The sequence below is a fragment of the Homo sapiens genome, chromosome 10 (genome assembly GCF_000001405.40).
Source record: "Homo sapiens chromosome 10, GRCh38.p14 Primary Assembly".
Lineage (NCBI taxonomy): Eukaryota > Metazoa > Chordata > Mammalia > Primates > Hominidae > Homo > Homo sapiens.
Genome location: NC_000010.11, coordinates 21,638,429 through 21,661,749, shown reverse-complemented (window position 1 = coordinate 21,661,749; position 23,321 = coordinate 21,638,429). Strand labels below are relative to the sequence as shown.

General features: G+C 39.3%; 1 protein-coding gene and 1 pseudogene across 4 annotated transcripts in view; one reads left to right on the top strand and one right to left on the bottom strand.

Moving 5' to 3' along the window:
• Window positions 1-23,321, bottom strand: part of MLLT10 (MLLT10 histone lysine methyltransferase DOT1L cofactor) — a 209,875-nt gene that overhangs the window by 81,881 nt on the left and 104,673 nt on the right. For all 4 annotated transcript variants that reach the window (NR_136736.2, NM_001324297.2, NM_004641.4 and 1 more), the window contains one exon: window positions 9,982-10,077. Coding sequence is in view for 2 of the 4 variants with exons in the window: in NM_004641.4 (NP_004632.1) it covers window positions 9,982-10,077 (96 nt within the window). In the remaining 2 variants the exon portion in view is untranslated. The remainder of the gene's footprint in view (window positions 1-9,981; window positions 10,078-23,321) is intronic.
• On the top strand, window positions 9-115 carry RNU6-1141P (RNA, U6 small nuclear 1141, pseudogene; annotated as a pseudogene).

The window sequence follows — 23,321 nt, the reverse complement described above, 5'->3', positions numbered from 1 at the left end:
AGGAAATCGTGCTCACTTTGGCAGCACACATACAAAAATTAGAATGATACAGAGAAGATTAGTAGGACCCCTGTGCAAGAGTGACATGCAAATTCGTGAAGCGTTCCATATAAAAGTAAATAAATAAAAAGGAAATGGAGAAAGGTATACTGTGCTAATGCTAATTTTCAAAAAGCAGAAATACTATATTATGAACAGAACAGACTCAGAGCAAAGAAAGTTATCAGGACTAAAGAGAGTAATAAAATAAGATAAAGGTGTTAATACTTCAAAAAGACATAACAATCCTTAATGTGTATGTGACTAACAAAAGAAGTCAAAATATATGAAGCAAAAACTGATAGAAATTGATACTGCAGCCAGAAATTAACAGATACACTAGTGAGAAAATCAGTTAAGGACACAGTTGAGCTCAACAGTACTATCAATCAACTGTATATAATTGACATCTGTAGACTACTTCGTCCAACAACAGCAGATGACACATTCTTCTATTCTCCAGCTTACATGGAACATTAACCAAGATGGACCACATTCTAGACCATAAAACACACCTTAACAAATTTTAAAGAATAGAAATCATACAGTGTGCCTTGCTCTCTCAGACCACAGTGAAATTAAACCAGAAATCAATACCAGAAAGGTGGCCATAAATCCAAAAACACATGGAGATTAAACAAGACACTTCTAAACAACATATAAGTAAAAGAAGAAATATAAAGAGAAATTTTAAAATATATGGAACTAAATGAAAATAAAACATAAAAATTTGTCAGATGCTGGGAAAGCAGCATTTAAAGAGGAATTTATCGCACTGAATGAATATATTAGAAAAGAAGATAGAAGAACAATAATCTTTTTTTTTTTTTTTTTTTTTTGAGACAGAGTTTTGATTGTCACCCAGGCTAGAGCGCAATGACGCTATCTTGGCTCACTGCAACCTCCACCTCCTGGGTTCAAGTGATTCCCTGCCTCAGCCTCCTGAGTAGCTGGGATTACAGGCGTCCGGCACCATACCCAGCTAATTTTTGTATTTTTAGTAGATACGGGGCTTCGCCATGTTGGCCAGGCTGATCTTGAACTCCTGACCTCAGGGGATCCACCACACCTGGCTTTTTTTTTTTTTTTTTTTTTGAGATGGAGTCTTGCTCTGTCACCCGCGCTGGAGTGCAGTGGTGAGATCTCGGGTCACTGCAACCTCCGCCTCTCAGGTTCAAGTGCTTCTCCTGCCTCAGCCTCCCGAGTAGCTGGGACTATGGGCCTGCACCACGATGCCCGGCTAATTTTTGTATTTTTAGTACAGAAAGAGTTTCTCCATGTTGGCCAGGCTGGTCTGGAACCCCTGACCTCAAGTGATCCACCTGCCTCAGCCTCCTAAAGTGCTGGGATACAGGCGTGAGCCACCGTGCCTGGCCTTAATCTTCAAAATAGTAGAAAAAGAAGAGCCAATTAAGCCCAATGTAAGCAAACAAAAATTAAAGTGGCCAGGCATGGTGGCTCACGCCTGTAATCCCAGCACTTTGGTGGGTTAAGGGGGGGCAAATGGCTTAAGCCCAGGAGTTCAAGACCAGCCTAGGCAACATGCGAAACTTATCTCTACAAAAAATTATAAGAAAAAATTAGATGGGCATGGTGGTGTGTACCTCTAGTCTCAGCTGATCAGGAGGCTGAGGTGGGAGTATGCTTGAGCCTGGGAGGTCAAGGCTGCAATGAGCCACTGCACTCCAGCCCGGGCAACAGAGCAAGACTGTCTCAAAAAAAAGTTTAAGCAAGGTGGCAGGATACAAAATAAACACAGAAATTTCAACAGGATTTTTATACACTAGCAAGGAACAATCATCACTGTGGTAAGCTCCAAAGAAACGAATAGATGGTTTGTTCAAACCTATTGAGGTCTAACATGGATGGACTGAAGAAGAGGAACAAAAAGAGCAAGACTAAGGCCAGGCATTGTGGCTCACCTGTAATCCCAGCACTTTGGGAGGCCAAGGCGGGTGGATCACCTGAGCTCAGGAGTTTGAGACCAGCCTGGCCAACATGGTTAAACCTTATCTCTACTAAAAATACAAGAATCAGCCAGGCGTGGTGGTGGGCACCTATAATTCCAGCTACTCGGGAGGGTGAGGCATGAGAATCCCTTGAACCCAGGAGGCAAAGACTGCAGTGAGCCGAGATCACACCACTGCACTCCAACCCTGCCAACAAAGCGAGAATCCGTCTCAAAAAAAAAAAAAAAAGATTAAGAGTAAGAAGAGCAAAGTAGCCCAGTGAAGGGCACAAACTTTCCTGCTTTCACCAACGAACCACTGAATTGCTATTTTTCCTTTGGTTTTTACGTTTTGCCTCAAACCTAGGTTTCTGTTTCTCTACAGTAACTTTTTTTATGGTCATTCTGGAGAGAAGAAGGGTTGCAATGTTCACACATTAGTTGTGATAAGAAGCCAGTTTATTTTAGATTTGGCTAACCAGTCTGGGCTGTGTGACTATATACTCCTGAATTATAGTTTTAAAAGCTTGTAAAAGAAAACACAAAAAAATTCATAAACTAAATTTCATAAAGAATGTCTGCTCTTCAAAAGATTAAAAGAATGAAAATATAAGCCACAGAGTGAGATAAGTATCTGCAAATATGTATCTGACAAAGGACCTGCATCCAGAATACATACTCTCACAAAAGTCAATAACAACAAAACAAGCCAATAAAAAAAAAGCAGGTGGTGGGGAGAGCTTAATAAACACTTCACCAAAAATAACAAATAACAAATATGCACATAAAAAGATACCAGCTAAGCACGGTGGCTCATGCCTGTAATCCCAGCACTTTGGGAGGCCTAGGAGGGCGGATCACGAGGTCCAGAGATTGAGACCATCCTAGCTAACACGGCGAAACCCCATCTCTACTAAAAAAATACAAAAAAATTAGCCGGGCATGGTGGTAGGCGCCTGTAGTCCCAGTTACTCGGGAGGCTGAGGCAGGAGAATGCATTAACCCAAGAGGCAGAGGCTGCAGTGAGCCAAGATTGCACCACTGCACTCCAGCCTGGGCGACAGAGCGAGACTCCGTCACACATACAAAAAAAGCATATACCTACCATGGTGAGCCACACCTACCATGTGGCCCAACCATTCCACTCCTTGGTATTCATGCAAGAGAAATAAAAACATATATCTTATAAGATTTATACAATATTTATAGTAGCTTTATTTGTAACAGCCCAAAACTAAAAACAACCTGAATGTCCATCAATTGTTGAATGGATAAGCTAATTATAGTATATCCATACACACAATTGTGGTTAGCCAAAAAATGAACTATTAAAACATACAACAAGAAAAAATCTTAAAATAATTATGCTGAAAGATGCCAGACAGAAAAAGCATACATACTATATGTTTCCATTTTTTAACATTACAGAAAATTCAAACTAATTTAAACTGACAAAAAGCAGATCAGTAGTTGCTTGGGGAAGGATGTGAACTCAGGGAGAAGGAGATTAAAAGAAGTCACAAGGAAACTGTTGCCTGTGATTGTGGTGGTAGTTTCACTAATGTGTACATATGTCAAAATGTTATCAATGTTTCTATTTTAAATATGTGCAATGTATCGTGTATAATATATTTATGATATATTAGACTTCTGAATACCTTATGATCCTAAGATTGTGTGTATTTCCTTCAAAATTAAATTTACTTTTTAAAAAAGCTTAACTTTTAAATATAATTGTATTGTGTTGTAAAAATACAAGGAAAGAACAGAGAGATAAAGTGACAATAAAAAAGATTAAATCTCCACTTGGATTTCATTATAACTTCAAAGTTCTAAAGATTTCTTTAAAAGATGATCCTTAAAGAAACATTAAAATTTTTAAATTACACATAAAAATTAACTTATTTTACCAAAAATTTTCTCCTGAAAGTCTTAAAAATCAGTACAAAATTTAACAGCTAATTGAAAGGATTTACTTAAAATTAGGTTCTCCTTTATCCTCTTTTAAAAAATGCTGCAAAGAGAAAGAGACAAAAACCTGATCACGTATCTCTGGTGCACGAAAACCTTCCTTAAAACAAACAAAAGCTGTACTTTAAAAGCTAAATTACCTCAAAATTCAAACAACTAAAAATTGTGAGCTATTTATAATGACGCTGAGAAACAACTAAGTCTTCTAATAATAATGAAAGGTAATGTGTTAAAGATTGCTTTTAACAAGCTGTGAGGTTCAATTTGTCAATTTAAAAAGAGAACTGTGGCTTATAAGCATCTACGAATTTCTTTACCAAAATAACATTGACAGCAAGCAAATCTCTATCAGGTCAAAACGAAGACTTTCTCACCTTTTTTTTTTTTTTTTTTTTTTTTGAGACAGAGTCTCGCTCTGTCGCCCAGTCTGGAGTGCAGTGCTACCATCTTGGCTCACTGCAACCTCGGCCTCTGGGGTTCAAGCAATTCTCCTGCCTCAGCCTCTCGTGTAGCTGGGATTATAGGCACATGCCACCATGCCCAGCTAATTTTTTGTATTTTTAGTAGAGACAGGGTTTCACCATGTTGGCCAGGCTGGTCTCAAACTCCTGGCCTCAAATGATCCACCCACCTTGGCCTCCCAAAGTGCTGGAATTATAGGTGTGAGCTACCCCACCTGGCATCTCCCCTTTTTTTCCTTGGCAATATCCTCTTCTACCATGGGAAGAAGGAAACTAGTTTGAAGTGCTCAGAAAGACTATAAATTGGGGAAATCAGGGGAGTAACCACACTTTCCTAAAAACATAAGCTGTCTCTACTTGTTTTGTCATATTAAAGGACTCCGTACATCAAGTTCTTGCAGACACAGAATCCTATGTGTTCCATCTAATCATCTTTTACCTAAGAACCAAAATCCCCCAATCATAGAAACAAAGAGCTATGGCTTCTGGAAAAGACACTTACACTTTTACTCCCTCTGATAACAATCTTAGTGAACAATGCTTATGTATCACCGGTGGTCCACTACCATCGTTACCAAAGATTTGTGTGAAAATATTACACTAGTAAATTATAGTTGCAATATTTAAAAGGTGATAGTGATACCACATTAATAACATAATATTGAAGTAGATACTTGTTGCTAATTTCTAGTTTTAAAACATTTATATGCAAAAGGGTTAAAGGTTAGTCACAGAAAAAGTGCACTAAAAAATATAAGGCAGTATAATCTAAGTTAATAAAGAAATAAATGAAACGGAATTTTTTACTAAGGAGTAAGAGATGGTAAACTAAGGTTAAAACTGTGCAAACACTACATGATACAGACATTTAAAAATTACAGTAGTGAATTAAAGTTCCCTTGACTTTCAATTTAAGTGTGCTCTACCATCATCAACCATGGAGTCTACACATTGTGTACATGTATCAAAATATTACATGTACCTCCAAAATATGTACAACTACGATATATCAATAATTTTTAAAAACCCATATAGTCTAGAAGGAACCCTAAAGTTCTGGGTAAAACAGCCTTTCTTTCCCTGACCTATCCCTATCTTTCCATCAAGAGAAGATAAGAGTGTGGTGAACCAATGTAAAATGACACCGTTCCCCAAAAAGGAACCTATGACTGAAGGCTTCTACCAGCCATCAGGATCAAGAAGAAGCCCATACTACCTCTCTACCCAACCTCTTCAAACACTCAAGGCCTCATCTTATTTGCCTGAAGTCTACCAGGGTCAATCGGATAATGACTTTCTCCCTGTTTTTATGTCAGTCATCAAAAGACTCCTGGTCCATCCTCACCTGCCTCATCCCTACACGGTTGTGAACCTCCCCTATTATGTCCACACCTGCCACCCCTCCTTCAACAGCTGAAAGCCTTCCACTGTGCTCCGAGAACAAGGTGCAATGTACCCCATCCTTTTCTCTGAACATCTCCTCTGATTCTTGTTCCAACAAAAACTTAGATCGACCCTGAAACCCACTGTTTACTCTGTAGCTATCTCAACGTTACTTTGCTCCCACAGCTCTTGTATCACTGGGTATGGAGATGAGGTAGGTTTCCTCATTCCTCAATGTTAATTCTACAACTCTCTAAAACCTTTCAGCAAAAAAATCTCAAGTTACCAGACATTAGCAACCATTAGGTCTCATCATTAGGGTAGGATACAGCAAACTACAGGCCCTCTAGTCATCCACCTGTTTTTGTATAGCTCAACAGCTAAGAATGATTTTAATACGTTTAAATGGCTTTTTAAAAAAAAATCAAAAGAAGACTATTTCATAACACGTGAAAACTATTCTATGAAATTTAAGTTCCAGTGTCCATAAATAAAGTTTTGCTGGAACACTGCCACATCCGCTTGTTTACAAATTGTCTATGGCTACTCTGTTCTACAGCAACAAAGGTCTGAGTATTAAAAAGAGCCAGTATGGCCTACAAAACCTAAAATACTTAGTATTCAGCCCCTGACAGAAAAAGCTTGCCAACCACTACCTTAGTACCTACATTACTGTCAGTCTTCAACACTACTGTTATTTTACTTCTTAGAGAATTCAGTATACATCTAGACAATCTTTTATAACCTCCAGTCTCTCTGTTCCTTGACAGCCTCTCTTCCAATGATCTTGTCTTCTGCCCTACAGCAGCCCCTCATGCCCTGATCACATCCTAGATTCTGATATGATTAAATAATCTCAAACCCTCAATAATCTCCATTTCATATATCCTACTCTTAAATACCACTTCATATTTCTAATTCACTCTTTACTACTCCAACAATCTTTGAGGTCTTACTGAGTTGCCCAGGCTGGTCTCAAACTCCTGGGCTCAAGCAATCCTCCTGCCTCAGCCTCCCAAAGTACTGAAACTACAGGCATGAGCCACCATGCGCAGCCTTCAACAATCCCTTAATTTCACCAGAAACCATGAACCAGTATATACTATCCCTCATCTATTGTCCTCATTTCCCTACCCACTGGGTTTAAATATAATGATCCATCATTATAACCCCCCTGGCATTTACCCTCACTCATTCGCTGTATTCAGATGGTAAAATAACAACCTGACCAAACCCTACTCTGTGCCCACGTCCATAGAGATGGACAAGAATAGAGAAAAACAAAAAGCTGTGTAAATCTGCCTCACCTTTAAGTCTTGCCCATGAACCTTCAGGTGGAACACTGTGACTACCCAGAAATCATAGTAAACATTGTGGAAATTTTCTTTTGCATTATTATAGTTAACCATCTCATGCCTTTTTTTCTTCACTCAAATCTCTAATACTCCTCAAATCGTCACAACTAAAAGCATTGCTTCTTACTTTACCAAAAAACGTCTGGATTTATCACAAGATATTTTCCCCAAAATCCCATCCCTTCTCATATTCTAGGGGACATCACTGTAGCAATATTTCTGTCTTTTCTATCATTTCATTATTCCTCCTCTCTACTGAATCATTCCTATTAGTGTACCTAACATCCTATTATTTATCTTATTTTTAAAATACCCTTCATTATCTCCACTTCCCTAACCTATTCTTCTGCTCCTCTTCATAGCAAAGCTCCTCATTTACACACACTGTCTGACTTTTCTCCCCCATTCTCTCTATAAAGCACTCCAATCAGGCTTTTGCCTCAATCAGTACTTTAAAACTGTTCAAGGTCAGTAATGACCTCCAAATGACTAAAAGGGCTAGTCCTTAATATATGACACAGTTCACTTATCCCCACCTTTCTTTAACTTGGCTTCCAGCATACCACATCCTGTTAGTTTTCTTCCAAACTCTAGCCTCTTCTCAGTCTCCTTTGTCGGTTGTACCTCCTCTTCCAGATCTTTCGACACAGGAGGTCCTGAGCCTCCTAAGGCCTATTTCTCTACCTGCACTCACTTCTCCCTTAGTGGTATCATTCAGTCTTGTGGCTTTAAATAACTCCATATGCATATAATTCCCACATTTAATATCCAAAGTTGAGACCTCTTTTCTGAATACCAGACTAGTTATCCAACTGGCTAGTCAGCATATCTACTCAGATGTCTAATATTAATAGATACATCTCAACGCCAACGTATCTGTGGTAGGCAGGATAGCACCCCTCAACCAAGATGTCCACATTCTAATCCCTGAAACCTGTGAATATGTTATATTACATGGCAAAAGGGGCTTTGCAGATGTAATTAAACTTAAGGATTTTAAAATAGGGACGTTATCTTGGACTTTCCAGGTAGACCCAATCTAATCACATGAGCTTAAAGAGAGAACTTTCTCCAACTAAAAGCAAAAGAGATGCAAAAAAAAATTCCAAGTGTAAGAGGAATTCAACATGCCATTGCTACCTATGAGATGGAGGGGATCATCTGACAATGGCACAAGGAAACAAAAAGAGGCTCTAGAAGCCAAGGGCTGATCCCCACCTGACAGGCAGCAAAGAAGTGGGCACCTCAGTCCTACAACCAATCACAAGGAACCAAATTTTGCCAATAACCTGACCAAGCATATAAGCAGATTCATTCTGCCAATAACCTGACGAACGGTAGAAACAGATTCTTTCAGATAAGAACCCAGACCATCCAACACCTTGATTTTGGCCTTGAGAGACCCTAATTAGAGGAAACAGCTGAGTCCACCCAGACTTCTGGCCTACAGAACGACTAGTAAGTTTATGTTGTTTTAAACTGGTATACTGTAGTAATTTCAACTGCAATAGAAAACTAAAACCACATCCCAAACTGAATTCCTTTCTTTCCCCTCAACCTGCTATGCCCACAGTCTTTCCCCTCTTTGTTAACAGTGACTCTATACCTTCTAGTGATCTGACCCAAAATCTTTGGAATCATCCATGGATCCTCTCTTTCTCATATGCCTCTAACTTATCTGTAAGAAAGTCAGGTGGGCTTTGTATGTATTCAGAATCTGATCACCTATCACTACCTCTGTTTTTACCACCATCTCTCTCTGGACGATTGCATACCTTGCTAATGGCCTCCCTGCTTCCATTCTGACTTTCCACAGCCTGTCCAAAACAAAGCAGCCAGAGGTCCTTTCAAAACCTAAGTCAGACCACGTTACATCTCAATTCAGAAACCTCCAGTAGCTCACTTTTCGATCAAACTAAACACAAAGTCCTTACACTGGTTTATACAGCTTTGCATAATGGGTCCCTCACCCTAGACTCATCTCCTACTGCACTTCCCAACTTATTTATTCTGTCCCAGTCTCCCTCTGTTTTCATATTAACCACAAGATAATAATCCTAATACTACTTAATATTTACTAATTCTCACTATGAACCAAATACTGTTCTAATTGCTTTACACATATTCTGTCATTCCATTTCATTAATAATTTCCCCCACTTTACAAATGATATAATTGAGTTAACCAAGGTTAATTAACCTAAACACTCAATCAGTAAGTGGCAAGGCCAGAATTCAAAATCTCAGATGAATGAAGTCCACCCACAGCCAAAATTCTCTGTCTCAATGATGGTTCCCACTTGTTATCCTTACTTAACAACAGGCTTTGGAGACAAGCACAGAATAAACAGAAGGTAGAATAAGGTAAGAAATGAGAATTCAGGCCAGGAGTGGTGGCTCTTGCCTGTAATCCCAGCACTTTGGGAGGCTGAGGTGGGCGGATCACAAGGTCAGGAGATCGAGACCATCCTGGCTAACACAGTGAAACCCCGTCTCTACTAAAGATACAAAAAATTGGCCAGGCACAGTGGCACGCGCCTGTAGTCCCAGCTACTCGGGAGTCTGAGGCAGAAGAATCACTTGAACCAGGTAAGTGGAGGTTGCAGTGAGCTGAGATTGTGCCACAGCACTCCAGCCTGGGTGACAGAGCGAGACTCCATCTCAAAAAAAAAAAAAAAAAAAAAAAAAAAGAAATGAGAATTCTAAGTGCCTGATATGTGGTTGAAAAGCTGGGAAAAGTTAGGGAATGAAAACAGTTTTTAGAGGTGAAAATCAGCACAATAACTACTTATTACATAAAACAAAATATGATACTTAAAACTTACTTTTTCTGTAGTAACAGTCAAGGATGGAACCAATGCAGGTGATGGTTCTGGCTGCTTCTTGTGTTTCTGTTTGTGTTTGTCCTTCTCTTTATATTTCTAAAAACGAATATAAGTAAAATCCAATTTTAATTTAACTATAACCCCATATATGCAACAGAGATTTTTTTATAACTAGTAATTTAAAACATTAACAAATACTTCTGTCAAAAATCACTTCCTCTGATCATTGTGTTGTTTTATAAACAAGTAATACTAGTGTGAGTTTCTTTTTAGGTAAGTTCAGCTTTTTTATTCTTGATAAGCCTAAAATAATACTAATAAACAACTGAAGTCTGTAATTATTTGCTACATTTACATTCAGCAAAATATACACTTTTTCTCCTTAAAAACACCAAATACGGCCAGGCATGGTGGCTCACACCTGTAATCCCAGCACTTTGGGAAGCTGAAGCGGGCGGATCACGAGGCCAGGAGTTTAGGATCAGCCTGACCAACACGGTGAAACCCCATCTCTACTAAAAATACAAAAATTAGCCGGGCATGGTGGTGTGCACCTGTAATCCCAGCTACTCAGGATGCTGAGGCAGGAGAATCGCTTGAACCCAGGAGGCGGAGGTTGTGGTGAGCCAAGATCGTTCCACTGCACCCGAGCCTGGGCAACAGTGTGAGACTCCGTCTCAACAAAACAAAACAAAACAAAACAAAACAAAACAAAACAAAACAAAACAACACAACCACCAAATACTTTTGTGAACATTTTAAAATAGTACTTTAAAGTTTACATAGCACTTCACATCTGAACAGTACCAGATTTTCCTCTACCATGCATGAGAATTTCTCCAGAAACTAGAGGCACAGAAACTCCAGCAAAAAATTATTTCCTGGGTTTACTCAAAAAAATAGATGAATTAGTTATCTCTAACAAAAAAATTTAGATAAAGTTAGGGTGTGCTATAAAGTGCTAAAACTGATGAGCTAAATATAAAAAGGAATTCAATAAAATAAAAAATTAATTACATATTGGAAGTCCAACTTAATGTCAGATAATTTTAACCAAAATGTTCTGTTGTTTGAATCACTACATTATGAAACAGTATTGGGTGTGAAATTTACTATTTAAAGAGTTCATCGAATTTGTTTATTTCTCATGAAGCTTAAATCAGACCATTGAGGGCCCTTAATCTTTTCAAGCCATGAAAGATTGGTATCTCTGTCATCCTAAAAAGGTTTACATACAAGCAGAACACAATGCATACAAATTAAAGACAGATGTTTTACTTTAATACCCCCAAAATACTGCCATTTTTTCTGCTTTTAATTCCTGATCTAAGTACGTAAGATATTTTCAGGCTGCACTGTCAGTACTTCAGCAACAGTAAATGTAAATTAATATAATAATACTCTTTTCTTTTCTTTTTGAAACAGGGCCTCGCTGTGTCACTCAGGCTGGAGTGCAGTGGTACGATCACAGCTCACTACAGCCTCAACCTCCTAGGCTCCAGCAATCCTCTCACCTCAGCCTCCCAAGTAGTCAGGACTATAGGCACATGCCACCACACAAGGCTTTTTTTTATATGTATTTTTTTTATTTTTGAGAGTGCAGTGGTGTGATTTTGGCTCACTGCAGCCTCAGCCTCCCGAGTAGCTGGGACTACAGGCATGTGCCACCAGGCCTGGCTACAGGCTAATTTTTTATTTTACTTTTTGTAGAGACAGGGGTCTCACTATGTTGCCCAGAGTGTTCTCGGCTATCTTCCCACCCAATGATGCTTCTAATTCAGACTTTTTAGGAAACATTTTTATCCTAAAGTTATTTTGATTGTGGCAGATAATGACTCCCCAAAGAATCATGCCATATTCTCTGCAACGGGTTATCACTGCTCTTCTCATCCTAAGACATCCTCTTCTCCACTCCCTTGAACCTGGGTTAACCTTATGACTTGTGTTACTCAACAGGATGTGGCAGAAGTGATGGTGTATAAGCTCAAGAACCTGGAGGTTTAAGAAGTCTTCATGGCTTCCACCTCTGCCACCTCAGTTATCAGCCACCATGTAAAGAATCATTCCACACTCTACTCATAGAGAGGCCAAATGGAGAATGACATCACAGGGTGAACTGAGGTACTCTAGCCTATAGCCAGCAGCGCCTGGCGCCAGACATGTGAATAAGACCAACACTGAACACCCAGCTAGCCACCAGCTTAATGAATCCTCATGAGTAAACCCGACAGATACCACATGGAAGAAAGATAAATCATCCCTGCTGAGCCCACCGCTTAATAAGCCACTAAAAGTCGTGGAGTGGTTTAAAGCAACAGTGTAACTGAAACCAGACTAGAATACACGATTGGGTCATGGGAGCTAAAGAAAGCACAAACAAAATAACAATACAGGCCAGGCACACTGGCTCACACCTGTAATCCCGGCACTTTGGGAAGCCAAGGCAGGAGGATCACTTAAGCCAAGGAGTTCAAGGCCAGCCTGTGAAACATAGGGAGACCCCATCTCTACAAAAAAAATAAAAAATTAGCCAAGTGTGGTGGTGTAAACCTGTGGTCCCAGCTACTAAGAGGGCCAAGGCGGGAGGATTGCTTGAGCCTGGAAGGTTGAGGCTGCAGTGAACTGTGATCATACCACTGCACTCCAACCTGGGTGACAGAGTGAGACCTCATTTATTTAAAAAAACTAAAATAACAATATTAGGATTTTTGTAAGTTAATACATTGATATGGTTTGGCTGTGTCTTCACCCAAATCTCATCTTGAATTGTGGATCCCACAATCCCCACGTGTCATGGGAGGGACCTGGTAGGAGGTAATTGAATCATAGGGGTGGGTTTTTCCTGTGCTGTTCTCATGATAGTGAATAAATCTCATGAGAGCTGATGGTTTTATAAAGGGCAGTTCCCCTGCACATTGTCTCCTGCCTGCCGCCACGTAAGACTTGCCTTTACTCCTCCTTCGCCTTCTGCCATAATTGTGAGGCCTCCCCAGCCATGTGCAACTGTGAGACCATTAAACCTCTTTTTCTATAAAATTACCCAGTCTCGTGTATTTCTTCATAGCAGTATGAAAATGGGCAACTACACACACCAAAATAACAAATTTATACACTCTAGTCTATGAAGTTGAAATGATCCTGGTCTTTAAGTGTTATATCAATGTTTTTCTCCCTACAAAGATAATTAAGAAGCCTTTCTATCCTCCTTTACTCTATATATTCTACTTCCCATTCTGGGCTTTGTTCTTCAAGGTTATAAGAGCTGAGATAATTTAATGGTGAATGATCCTGAATAACAAAAAAGTAAACAAACAAACCCTAACAACTTGCAAAACAAATGAGAGTAAAAGGCAAAAAATACACATGTACATGTGTGAAAACATACAATATAGAGATGTAAAAAAATCATACAAAGCAAATCATGGAACAATAAAGAACTCTGGTCCTCTGTGATACATCAAGAAATGTATCCTGCAATGAGCATTACAAGTGTTCACTGGAACACACTGTGCATGGCTTATATCCATATGAACAGCCTATCAAATGTGAATCAAAGAAGTCTAATGACTGTCACTAAAAACATATGTTGATTTAAACAGATTAAGAAAGGGAAAACCCAGGAAAAGAGTCAATTATATATGAAAATTTAGTATATGATAAAGAGGAGGTTCCAAATCAGAAGGCAAAGACTAAAATTACTTAATAATGGTACTAGAACTGGTTAATAATTTAGGGGAAAATATCTTAGACAAAATAAAACAAAATCCAGATGGGTTAAAGGGTTAAGTAAAAATTAAAATAACATCAAAGTCAGCTAGAAAGTATTTTTAAAGTATCTGACTTTAAGGAAGGAAAGACTTTTCTAACCTCCCCCCCAAAAAATAAAAAAAACAGAAAGGGAAAACACAGACTTAGCTATGCAAATTAAAAAACAAATCATTAAAAAACAAAAACCAAACTGGGAAGACGGTAAAATTAAAAATTCTGTATTTTAATTCTGTTTAAATTTTTTAATAAATAAGAAAATACATATGCCATTGGACATGACTGGGCAATCCCCCCGCCCCCCGCAAAAAAAAAGAGCCAGTAAACAGCAACAGAAACATGCAACCCAAGTATTAAAACAACTAAAGGTAGTATTTTTCTCCTATATAGTGACCAAAGTTGTTGGGTTTTGTTTTTAATGACAAGATCTAATAACTGCCTAGGGAAATGAGCACTTGCATACATTACTAGAGAAAATGTAAACATATAAAGAACACTTATTTTTGTTCTTAAAGAGACTGGGTCTTGCTATTTTCCCCAGGCTGGCCTTGAAGTCCTGGGCTCAAAGGATCCTTCTGCCTTAGCCTCCCAAATATCTGGGACTATTGGCACACACTACTGAGCCAAGCTGACAATTTTTAAAACAAGAGTTAGAAACTATAAAAATACTCATACCATGTGACCTAGTAATTTCACATCTAACAAGGTGTACAAAGATTTAAATACAGTTTATCATACTTCTATTTGCAATGGGGAGAAAAATGTAAACAACTTGTTCAACAACAGAGGTGTGCTTGAAAAAAAATCATTATGCAAGCATATAATGGCCATTAAAATAAGTCACAGATGGCCAGGTGCAGCGGCTCATGCCTGTAATCCCAGCACTTTGGGAGGCCGAGGTGGGCGGATCACGAGGTCGGGAGATCGAGACCATCCTGGCTAAGACGGTGAAACCCCGTTCTCTACTAAAAATACAAAAGATTAGTCGGGCGTGGTGGCGGGCGCCTGTAGTCCCAGCTACTCAGGAGGCTGAGGCAAAAGAATGGCATCAACTCGAGAGGCGGAGCTTGCAGTGAGCCCAGATCACGCCACTGCACTCCAGCCTGGGCGACAGAGCGAGACTCCGTCTCAGAAAAAAAAAAAAAAAAAAGGGAATAGTCAGAGATTTCGGAAAACTGTTAACAGATGAGCTTTGTGTGTAGTTCACAGATTACATATGTACTCTTCAGAACTGTGAATTCCCCTTGGCCTGAAGATATGAACTTACAAGTATTATCTTCACTGCTTGTTAGGTCAAGACAGCCAACGTCACTCTCAGTTGAATCAGTATGTATAATTAGCAATACAAAATCAGAACTGTAAAAGTTTATATTTTATGAATACACATGATATCTCAATCCTTAAAATAGCCGTGTGAGAAAAATTCTGTTTATTTTTTTTACAGAAAGGTATGGCTTAAACAAGCACAAGGTAGACTCTTATCTACCCCCCCAAAAAAACATAACCAAAACCTAAAAAAAAAAAGTTTTCAAAATTTAAAGAAAGTAGGTAAGGCACCCATGATGAAAATCAAGAGCAAGGGGAAAAAAAGAAAGAAAGGACAGAAACAAAAGGGAGAGAAACGTTTATAATAATAACATTACCAAATAGTTTCAAGGAAATCAATGCAGCATCATTTGCTCTCTGTAATGAACCTAAATGTTAAACTGGGTTTAGTTCCAGAATGAACTGCTTTCCCCGTAAAGAAGCTAAAGACAGTTATACAGGAGAGGGGTTTTTTTGTTTTTGTTTTCTTTTTTGGGATACAGTCTCACTCTGTTGCCAGGCTGTAGTGCGGTGGTGTGATCTCAACTCCCTGCAACCTCCGCCTCCCAGGTTCAAGCAATTATCATGCCTACAGCCATCCACGTAGCTGGGATTACAGGTGTGTACCACCATGTCTGGCTAACTTTTGTATTTTTAGTAGAGACGGGATTTCATCATGTTGGCCAGGCTGGTCTCGAACTCCGGGCCTCAAGTGATCTGCCTGCCTCGGCCTCCCAAAGTGCTGGGATTACAGGTGTGAGCCACCACACCCAGCCTATGCAGGAGTTTTTAACTTAAGTTTAGTGCAAGACAAACAACCAAGAGACAGGTCCAATGTTTCAGTTTTCAAACTAGAACAGGTATAGGACTATTTAAAGGAGCAGTGAAGATAATACTTGTAAGTTCATATCTTAAGGCCAAGAGGAATTCAGAGTTTTGAAGAGTACGTATGTAATCTGTGAACCATAGACAGAAATGTCTGGGACAAATCAGAAAGTGAATTTTACAAAGAATGCAATACTGAGCTTGAAGTTACCTCTCAGGAAAACTCTAGAGTAAATTATTAAAAAGATTTGCTAACATATAAGAAAGAATTTCATTATCACTAATCATCAAGACAAGTTCATCAGAAAGCCCAATACTAGAAATTAATATTTAGGCATAACATAAGAAAGAAAAAGAACATGTGAGTTATTTTAATATGACTCAATTCTTTACACTGAAATAGAACAAATTTCTAGTAAGAGTGCCTATATTCAAATAACACAAAATATCATTACAAATATAAAGCAAACAAATTTTAAGTAAACATGGATCTTAAAATGCTTAAGAGAAAGCTGAAATCACATCACAGATTTTCCCAATGTAGAAAACAAATGAACAGAAACCAGTTAAAAAACAACCAACCAAATGATCCCCAAAAGCAACCAAAATGGGAAGCAGGGGCAGATATTCATGCATTAAACAAAAACTGTCAAGGAGTAAACTAGATTCTATAGTAGAAATTGCCCTAGACTGAGCTACAGGATTCAGCTCTTAATCCTACCCCTTAATTCCCAAAAATTCTGAGAATATAACCGAAAGTCCCAAATCTGAAGAGAGGTGATTTTATATGTTCCTACCTACTAAACTACTTTTTCTGCCTAAAGAGTAGTACTAGCTTCAGGGAAGAAACAGGAAAAACTGAAGGCGAGAGGAAGAAAAGTGAAGAGGTGCTAACTGGAAGTAAAGAATCAAGGCTAAGAACTAACTACATAAAATCCTAGGGGGCCCGGTGCAGTGGCTCTCCCCTGTAATTCTAGTGCTTTGGGAGGCCTAGGTGAGAGAATCACTTGAGGCCAGGAGTTGGACATCAGCCTGGGCAACACAATGACAACCCATCTCCACAAAAAGCAAAAAAATGAGTTGGGTGTGGTGGTGCAAATTTGTAGTCTTAGCTACTGGGAGGTTGAGGCGGAGGACCCAAGAGGTGGAGGCTGCAGTGAGCCATGATCATGCCACTGCACTCCAGCTTGGGGGACAGAGTGAGACCGTGTCTCAAAAAATTACAATTAAAATAAAAAATAAAATAGAATCCTAGGGTATTCCCCATAAGACTAAAATACACCCAAACACTTGAGATATATAGAACCTGGTGCAAGACATTTAATAATGCACTGTGTTAAAAAGGAGAGCCCAGCCTGGAGTTCTACCAAAAAGTGCATACTGCCCTAAGCCAAGCTCTTATACTGCGCCCCTCCTCCCAAGCTTCTATACTGCACCCCTCATTCCCACAGGCTTCAGAAAAATGCAAAATACATAGCCCTTAAACCATCGTCTCAAAAACGAGAAAATATTCAAAAAATTACGTAAATTATAATGGAATAAGTGTCAAAAGTGAGCCTCCCAAGCATAAACAACATTTTAAAAACTGTATGGCAAAGAAACTACAGGCAAAAAATAATACAGAGTCTAATGTGCATGAGATAGCCAAATATCACAACCTAGAAGCATACATAACTGAGTATGAAAATATTTCTCAAAACTGTCCCCATGCCAAATAAAAAATATAACATGAGTTCAAACAAAGCTCAAGAATGAGATGATAAAATAGGAAAAGGTAAGAAGGGAGATAACCAAAGTAATAAGGTTAAGACTAAAACGGTATCATTACAGAATTAGTAAACAAAATAGAAACAGCAAGGAAAATACACATTGCCAAGAATTGTTAAAGTGTTAAAAGAAAGGCTTGAAATAATCACAGTAATGCAAATTTTAAAAAAGATACTAAAGCAGGCAGACCACATCTGACAGGTATAAAAAACAGAGATAATCAAACATAAGATAACGTGTATCCCTGAAGCAGAGAATTCAATGAATGGGGAACAGAAGGTATATTCAAACATAAAATTCCACAAAATGAAAATGGAAAAAAAAAATTCTGAACAATTCTGTTACAGACTGTGTAGCACCAAGACTTACTGTAGTTAAACTTAGCAGAATACAGGGAGAGGGAGGTGTCGTTAGTCATCTCCACAGCAATATTCCAGGACCATTAAGTTTTTAGAAGAAATAAAGTGTGACCCAACAATATTATATACAGCCAAGATACAGTTCAAAAATTAAGGCAAAAGGAAATGTTCTCCATTATGAAAGAAATCAGAGAACACAAGTCCTAAGAACTTATTATTGAAAAAAGTGAATAAAATTCAGCCAATTTAAGAGGAACAATGAACTTACTGGAATAGCTGTGGTAAAAAGACTAATAGTGAGCAGCTAACGAATTTAAATACAAAACAAATGCCTACACAACTATGAGGATTATGTTTACATAAGAGAATGTCACTACCTGAAAAAATAGAAATGTCTTCAAAAACAAACAACCCTGTCAGGGCGCGGTGGCTCACACCTGTAACCCCAGTACTTTGGAAGGCCGAGGTGGGCAGATTACTTGAGGTCAGGAGTTCGAGACCAGCCTGGCCAACATGGTAAAATCCCATCTCTACTAAAAATACTGAAATTAGCTGGGCATGGTGGCATGTGCCAGTAGTCCCAGCTACATGAGAGGCTGAGGCAGGAGAATCGCTTGAACTGGAGAGGCAGAGGTTGCAGTGAGCCGAGATTGCACCACTGCACTCCAGCCTGGGTGACAGAGTGAGACTCTGTCTCAAAAAAATAAAAAATAAATACATAAAAATAAAAACAACCTGGATAGCAGGAAAAGCAAAATGACTATAGGGATACTAGCAGCCTTCACTGTAGGAGCTCAATATAAAATCTGACACATGTAATTAAAACAAAACATAAGTCTGCCAAATAGTGACTAGACATAAACATCTTTCTTGCTGACAAAGTCCTGATTTCTTAAGAAAATTCATGATCACCTTCTCATGTCCTCATAAAAGTGTATCTATTCCCCAGCCCAGAGGTGAACATGGATGAGTCCAAGGTAATTAAGAGAAATTGATTCTCTTTAGCCACTGACTGCTTTAGGCCTGGAATAGGTTTCAATCAGGATAATAAAATAGAAGTTAAATTTTTCTTTTCTTTTTTTTTTTTTTTTGAGACAGAGTCTTGCTCTGTTGGCCAGGCTGGAGTGCAGTGGCTCAATCTTGGCTCACTGCAACCTCCGTCTCCCCGGCTCAAGCAATTCTCCTGCCTCATCCTCCCGAGTACCTGGGATTACCGGCATGTGCCACCACACCCAGCTAATTTTTGTATTTTTAGTAGAGACGGGGTTTCACCATGTTGGCCAGGCTGGTCTTAAACTCCTGACCACAGGTAATCTGCCCGCCTCAGCCTCCCAAAGTGCTGGGATTAGAGGCATGAGCCACCGCGCCCGGCTACTTCTTCGTATTTTTGTTTTTTAAACGGAGTTTCGCTCTTGTTGCCCAGGCTGGAGTGCAATGGCACGATTTCAGCTCACTGCAACCTCTGCCTCCGGGTTCAAGCCATTCTTCTGCCTCAGCCTCCAGTGTAGCTGGGATTACAGGCGTCCGCCACCACGTCTGGCTAATTTTTTGTTATTTTTCATAGAGACTGGGTTTCACCGTGTTGGCTAGGCTGGTCTCGAACTCCTGGCCTCAAGTGATCTGCCCGCCTCGGCCTCCCAAAGTGCTGGGATTACAGGCGTGAGCCACTGCACCAGGCCAGAAATTGAAATTTTCTAGCTGTTCTCCTCATTCTTAAGAGGTATTCCCTTCCTGCCTTTAGATGCTCAAGTGTTAGACCATGATCCTCAGAACAACTGCAGTGTCCTGGCAACCATGACTGCAAAAGCCAAAAAAATCACATGAAAGTCAACAATGCTCTGCCACAGCTGAATTGGCTACTGTTAAATTAACCAATCTTAGAAAAGCCTAGCATCTGATCTTACATGAAGTAATAAATTTCCAATTGCTTCAGCCACTCTGATTTGAGTATTCCATCACTTAGAGCTAAAAGCACCCCAACTAGAAAGACAGTCTTACCTCTTCAACGTCTTGTTTGCTTTTGTAATTTCTATTATTAAACTTAAAGGTATCTTTGAGGAAATAATATTTCTTGTGGTAAGGGGGGAAAAAAGTTTTTTTGGTCTCATTCTGCCACCCAGGCTGGAGTGCAGTGGTATGATCATAGCTCACTGCAGCCTCAAACTCCAGGCTCAAGGCATCCTCCCACCTCAGCCTCCGGAGTAGCTGTGACTATAGGCACGCACCACACATTCAGCTATGTTTTGTTGCTGTTGTTCTTCTATACAGACAGGGTCTCTTTCTTTTCCATCTATACAGCCAAATAAATCTGCCTTTGGTGTTTAAAACATCAGTAGGTTTCACTCAATTTAATAATTTTTCTCTAATTATCCTTTTTATGTATGTATCTATGTCTCTATGCATAGAAAAAATCTGTGATATTTACTTAGTAGTAAGTGATGGCTATTTCTCAATGGGAGATATGGAGTGGGATTTTGTTTTTTAACTTTCATTTTTTAAATGCTCTGTCTTCTGTCATTCTCTGTAATTACATACAAATTAACAAGAATGGGCTAAAATGAGGTAGAGACAGCCTATTCGCCAAACTCATTTCTTTTTATTTGGCAGGTAACTAGACATTTCCCAGCATCCTTTGCAGTTACATGCAGCCAGTGCACTGGGTTCCAATCAACGTAGTCTGAATGAAAATGATGTGTGTCACCTCTAGGCCTGGTCCTTAATAGCCCCAAATTTCTAGTATCCACACTGATTCCTTTTACATGGATAACAAAAATAAGCATTAAAGCCATAGAGGCAGCATTTTAAAGAAGGCAGTCACAAGATGGAAGAAACCTAAGCCCCTGATTCACAACTTGGAAGAATTTGTTTGTCAATCAAGGACACCTCTTTTGGACTTAGCTGTGAATCAAAAACATTGTGTAAAGTCAATCATAATTTGAGAATTATTCATGTGTCAGGAAACCATGCTACACAAGTCTCTCTTATTTCTGCATGTCTTTTGAGTTAGGCAATGGCAACCCATTATTCTGGATTATCTTTTCAAGGTTGCTCATATAGTGAATAGCCTCAGAAGACAGAAAGCAAAGGTCAGCTATGCTTACTGTCTATTACAGAAGATTCAGGTGCCCTAAGCTCAGGGCTCCTCTCCTGTAATGCAACACACAGCACAAACAGATTTTATCTGGCCTTCTTTGCAGTGCCCTATGGGAACTGGGCTTGGGAAATGACCAAAAATTACTGATACTCTGGTTACAGCTATTGCTCTAAGTAATAAGTTGTCTATCTCTTGACCCAGAAGTTGCATCTCTTAATTAGCTACTTTACAAGTAAGATCAAATGATAGACTTCTGTGATATTATGATATATACATATATATACACACACACATATATGTGTGTGTATATATATTTTATGTAATATATACACCAATATATGTATACATATATATTATATAATATATATTATATATAATACAATATAATATATATTATGTAATATAAATATTTATATTACATAATATATAATATATAATATAATATAATATATAAATATTATATAATAATATTTGATATTATATATAATATATATGTATACATATATTGGTTTTGTCCACAGTCCCTGGGTCAAAACTCCCAAAGTCCTTGCCATTTTTTAAGTAACTAAAAAAACAGGCGTATCTTTTGTTAAAGTATTTGGCCTTTTGTCCTTGGTTCCTGATGCAGCTTCAGAACAGCGGCAGAGTAACAAAGGTGAAATGACAGTCCTTTGTTATAATGGGGTGCTTTAGGCCTCAGAAAACAGAATCTCTCTCTTTCGGACCTTTCCTGCCCTCCTTTTTCTCCCCAAGACAGGCCATGAAAACTAAAAATATGCTCTAAACTTCCCCTACTTTTCTATCATGGAGCTGGACATAAAGAAATTCTCTGACCTACCTTGTCTGATTGTGGGTCATAAAACCCCCATTTCAGAAGGGGTTCTGCCCCAATACCCAGAAGAAAATAATGCTGCACAGAGAGGCCAAGAAGCGTGTGAACATACAGGCCTGCTTGGGTTTCCCTACTCAGTCTATTAGTGTTCGATCATACCTTTGTCCAATCACATTTCTACACAGGTGTCCATGCTTCAGTCATGCCTGTCCAGTGAACTCGGTATAACAAAGGCCCAAGAGGATGGGGAAGCTCTGCCTCCCTACCCAGTGACATACTTCACACTATTCATCTCTTCATCTGTATACTTCGTAATATCCTTCATAATAAACCAATAAACATAAGTAAGGGTTTCCCTCAGTTCTGTGAGCCACTCTAGCAAACTAATCCAACCCAAGGAGGGGGCTGTGGGAACCCCAAGTCACAGTCAGTTGAACAGAAGCACCTGGGGCTTAGAATCAGCATCAAAAGTGAGGCTCAGTCCTGTGGGACTGAGTTCCCAACCTGTGTAATCTGATGCCATCTCCAGGTGGATAGTGTCCAAACGCAGATGATGTCTGCTGCAAAACTGACAGCTTGCTTGGTGGGGAGAAATCCCCATACATTTATGGGTCACAGAAGCATTCTGTATTGTGAGATTACAGCAGGAGAAACTGTTTGTTTTTTCTATTCCACCTCTTTCATAGTTCTTGACAGTTTGGTGATGAGAGAATATAATGCTGTTAGGGGTATGGCTATTTAGAAGAGGAAAATTAAAGGCCTCACAGGCCAATTAATGGGATCTGAGGAAAGTCGAAAAATGAAAAATTGTACGGTCAACTAGGCAGTTAATGGGTCTTCATTTTATTGCCTGAATAATGAGGAGAAACTGAAGAGGTGGCTGTAGGCTAAGCACCAGAAACTATGTTTAAACAGAGCTGCCCAAGGATGCTGTGCTGGCAGCTAGCCTACTCTGGTTAGGTGGAGAGGACTTCCTCACCAATCTGGCAGTCAGCTTCATTTCTACCCCACTGTAACAATTAGGTGACCTCAGTGCTTTAAGAAGAAAAATAATTAGAGATGGGGATGTGCACTCCCTATCCCCAAGAGGCCTCAATGGCCACATGTAGTCATCCAAGTATGCTATGGAATTTGAGGAGAGGAAAAGACACGATTTATTTTTTTAAATAGTGATGGGGTCTCACGCTCCTGGGCTCAAGCAGTCCTCCCACCTCAGCCTCTCAAAATGTTGGGATTACAGGCATAAGCCACCGTGCTCAGCCAGAAAACACAAGTTTTTAAGACTCTGTTGGATACAGGCACCCAGATCACTATCCCACCTGGACCCATGAAAGGAAAAGATCCCAGGATTCAGTGGGCAGGATTCTCAGGGGGTAAGGAAGCTAACATGACT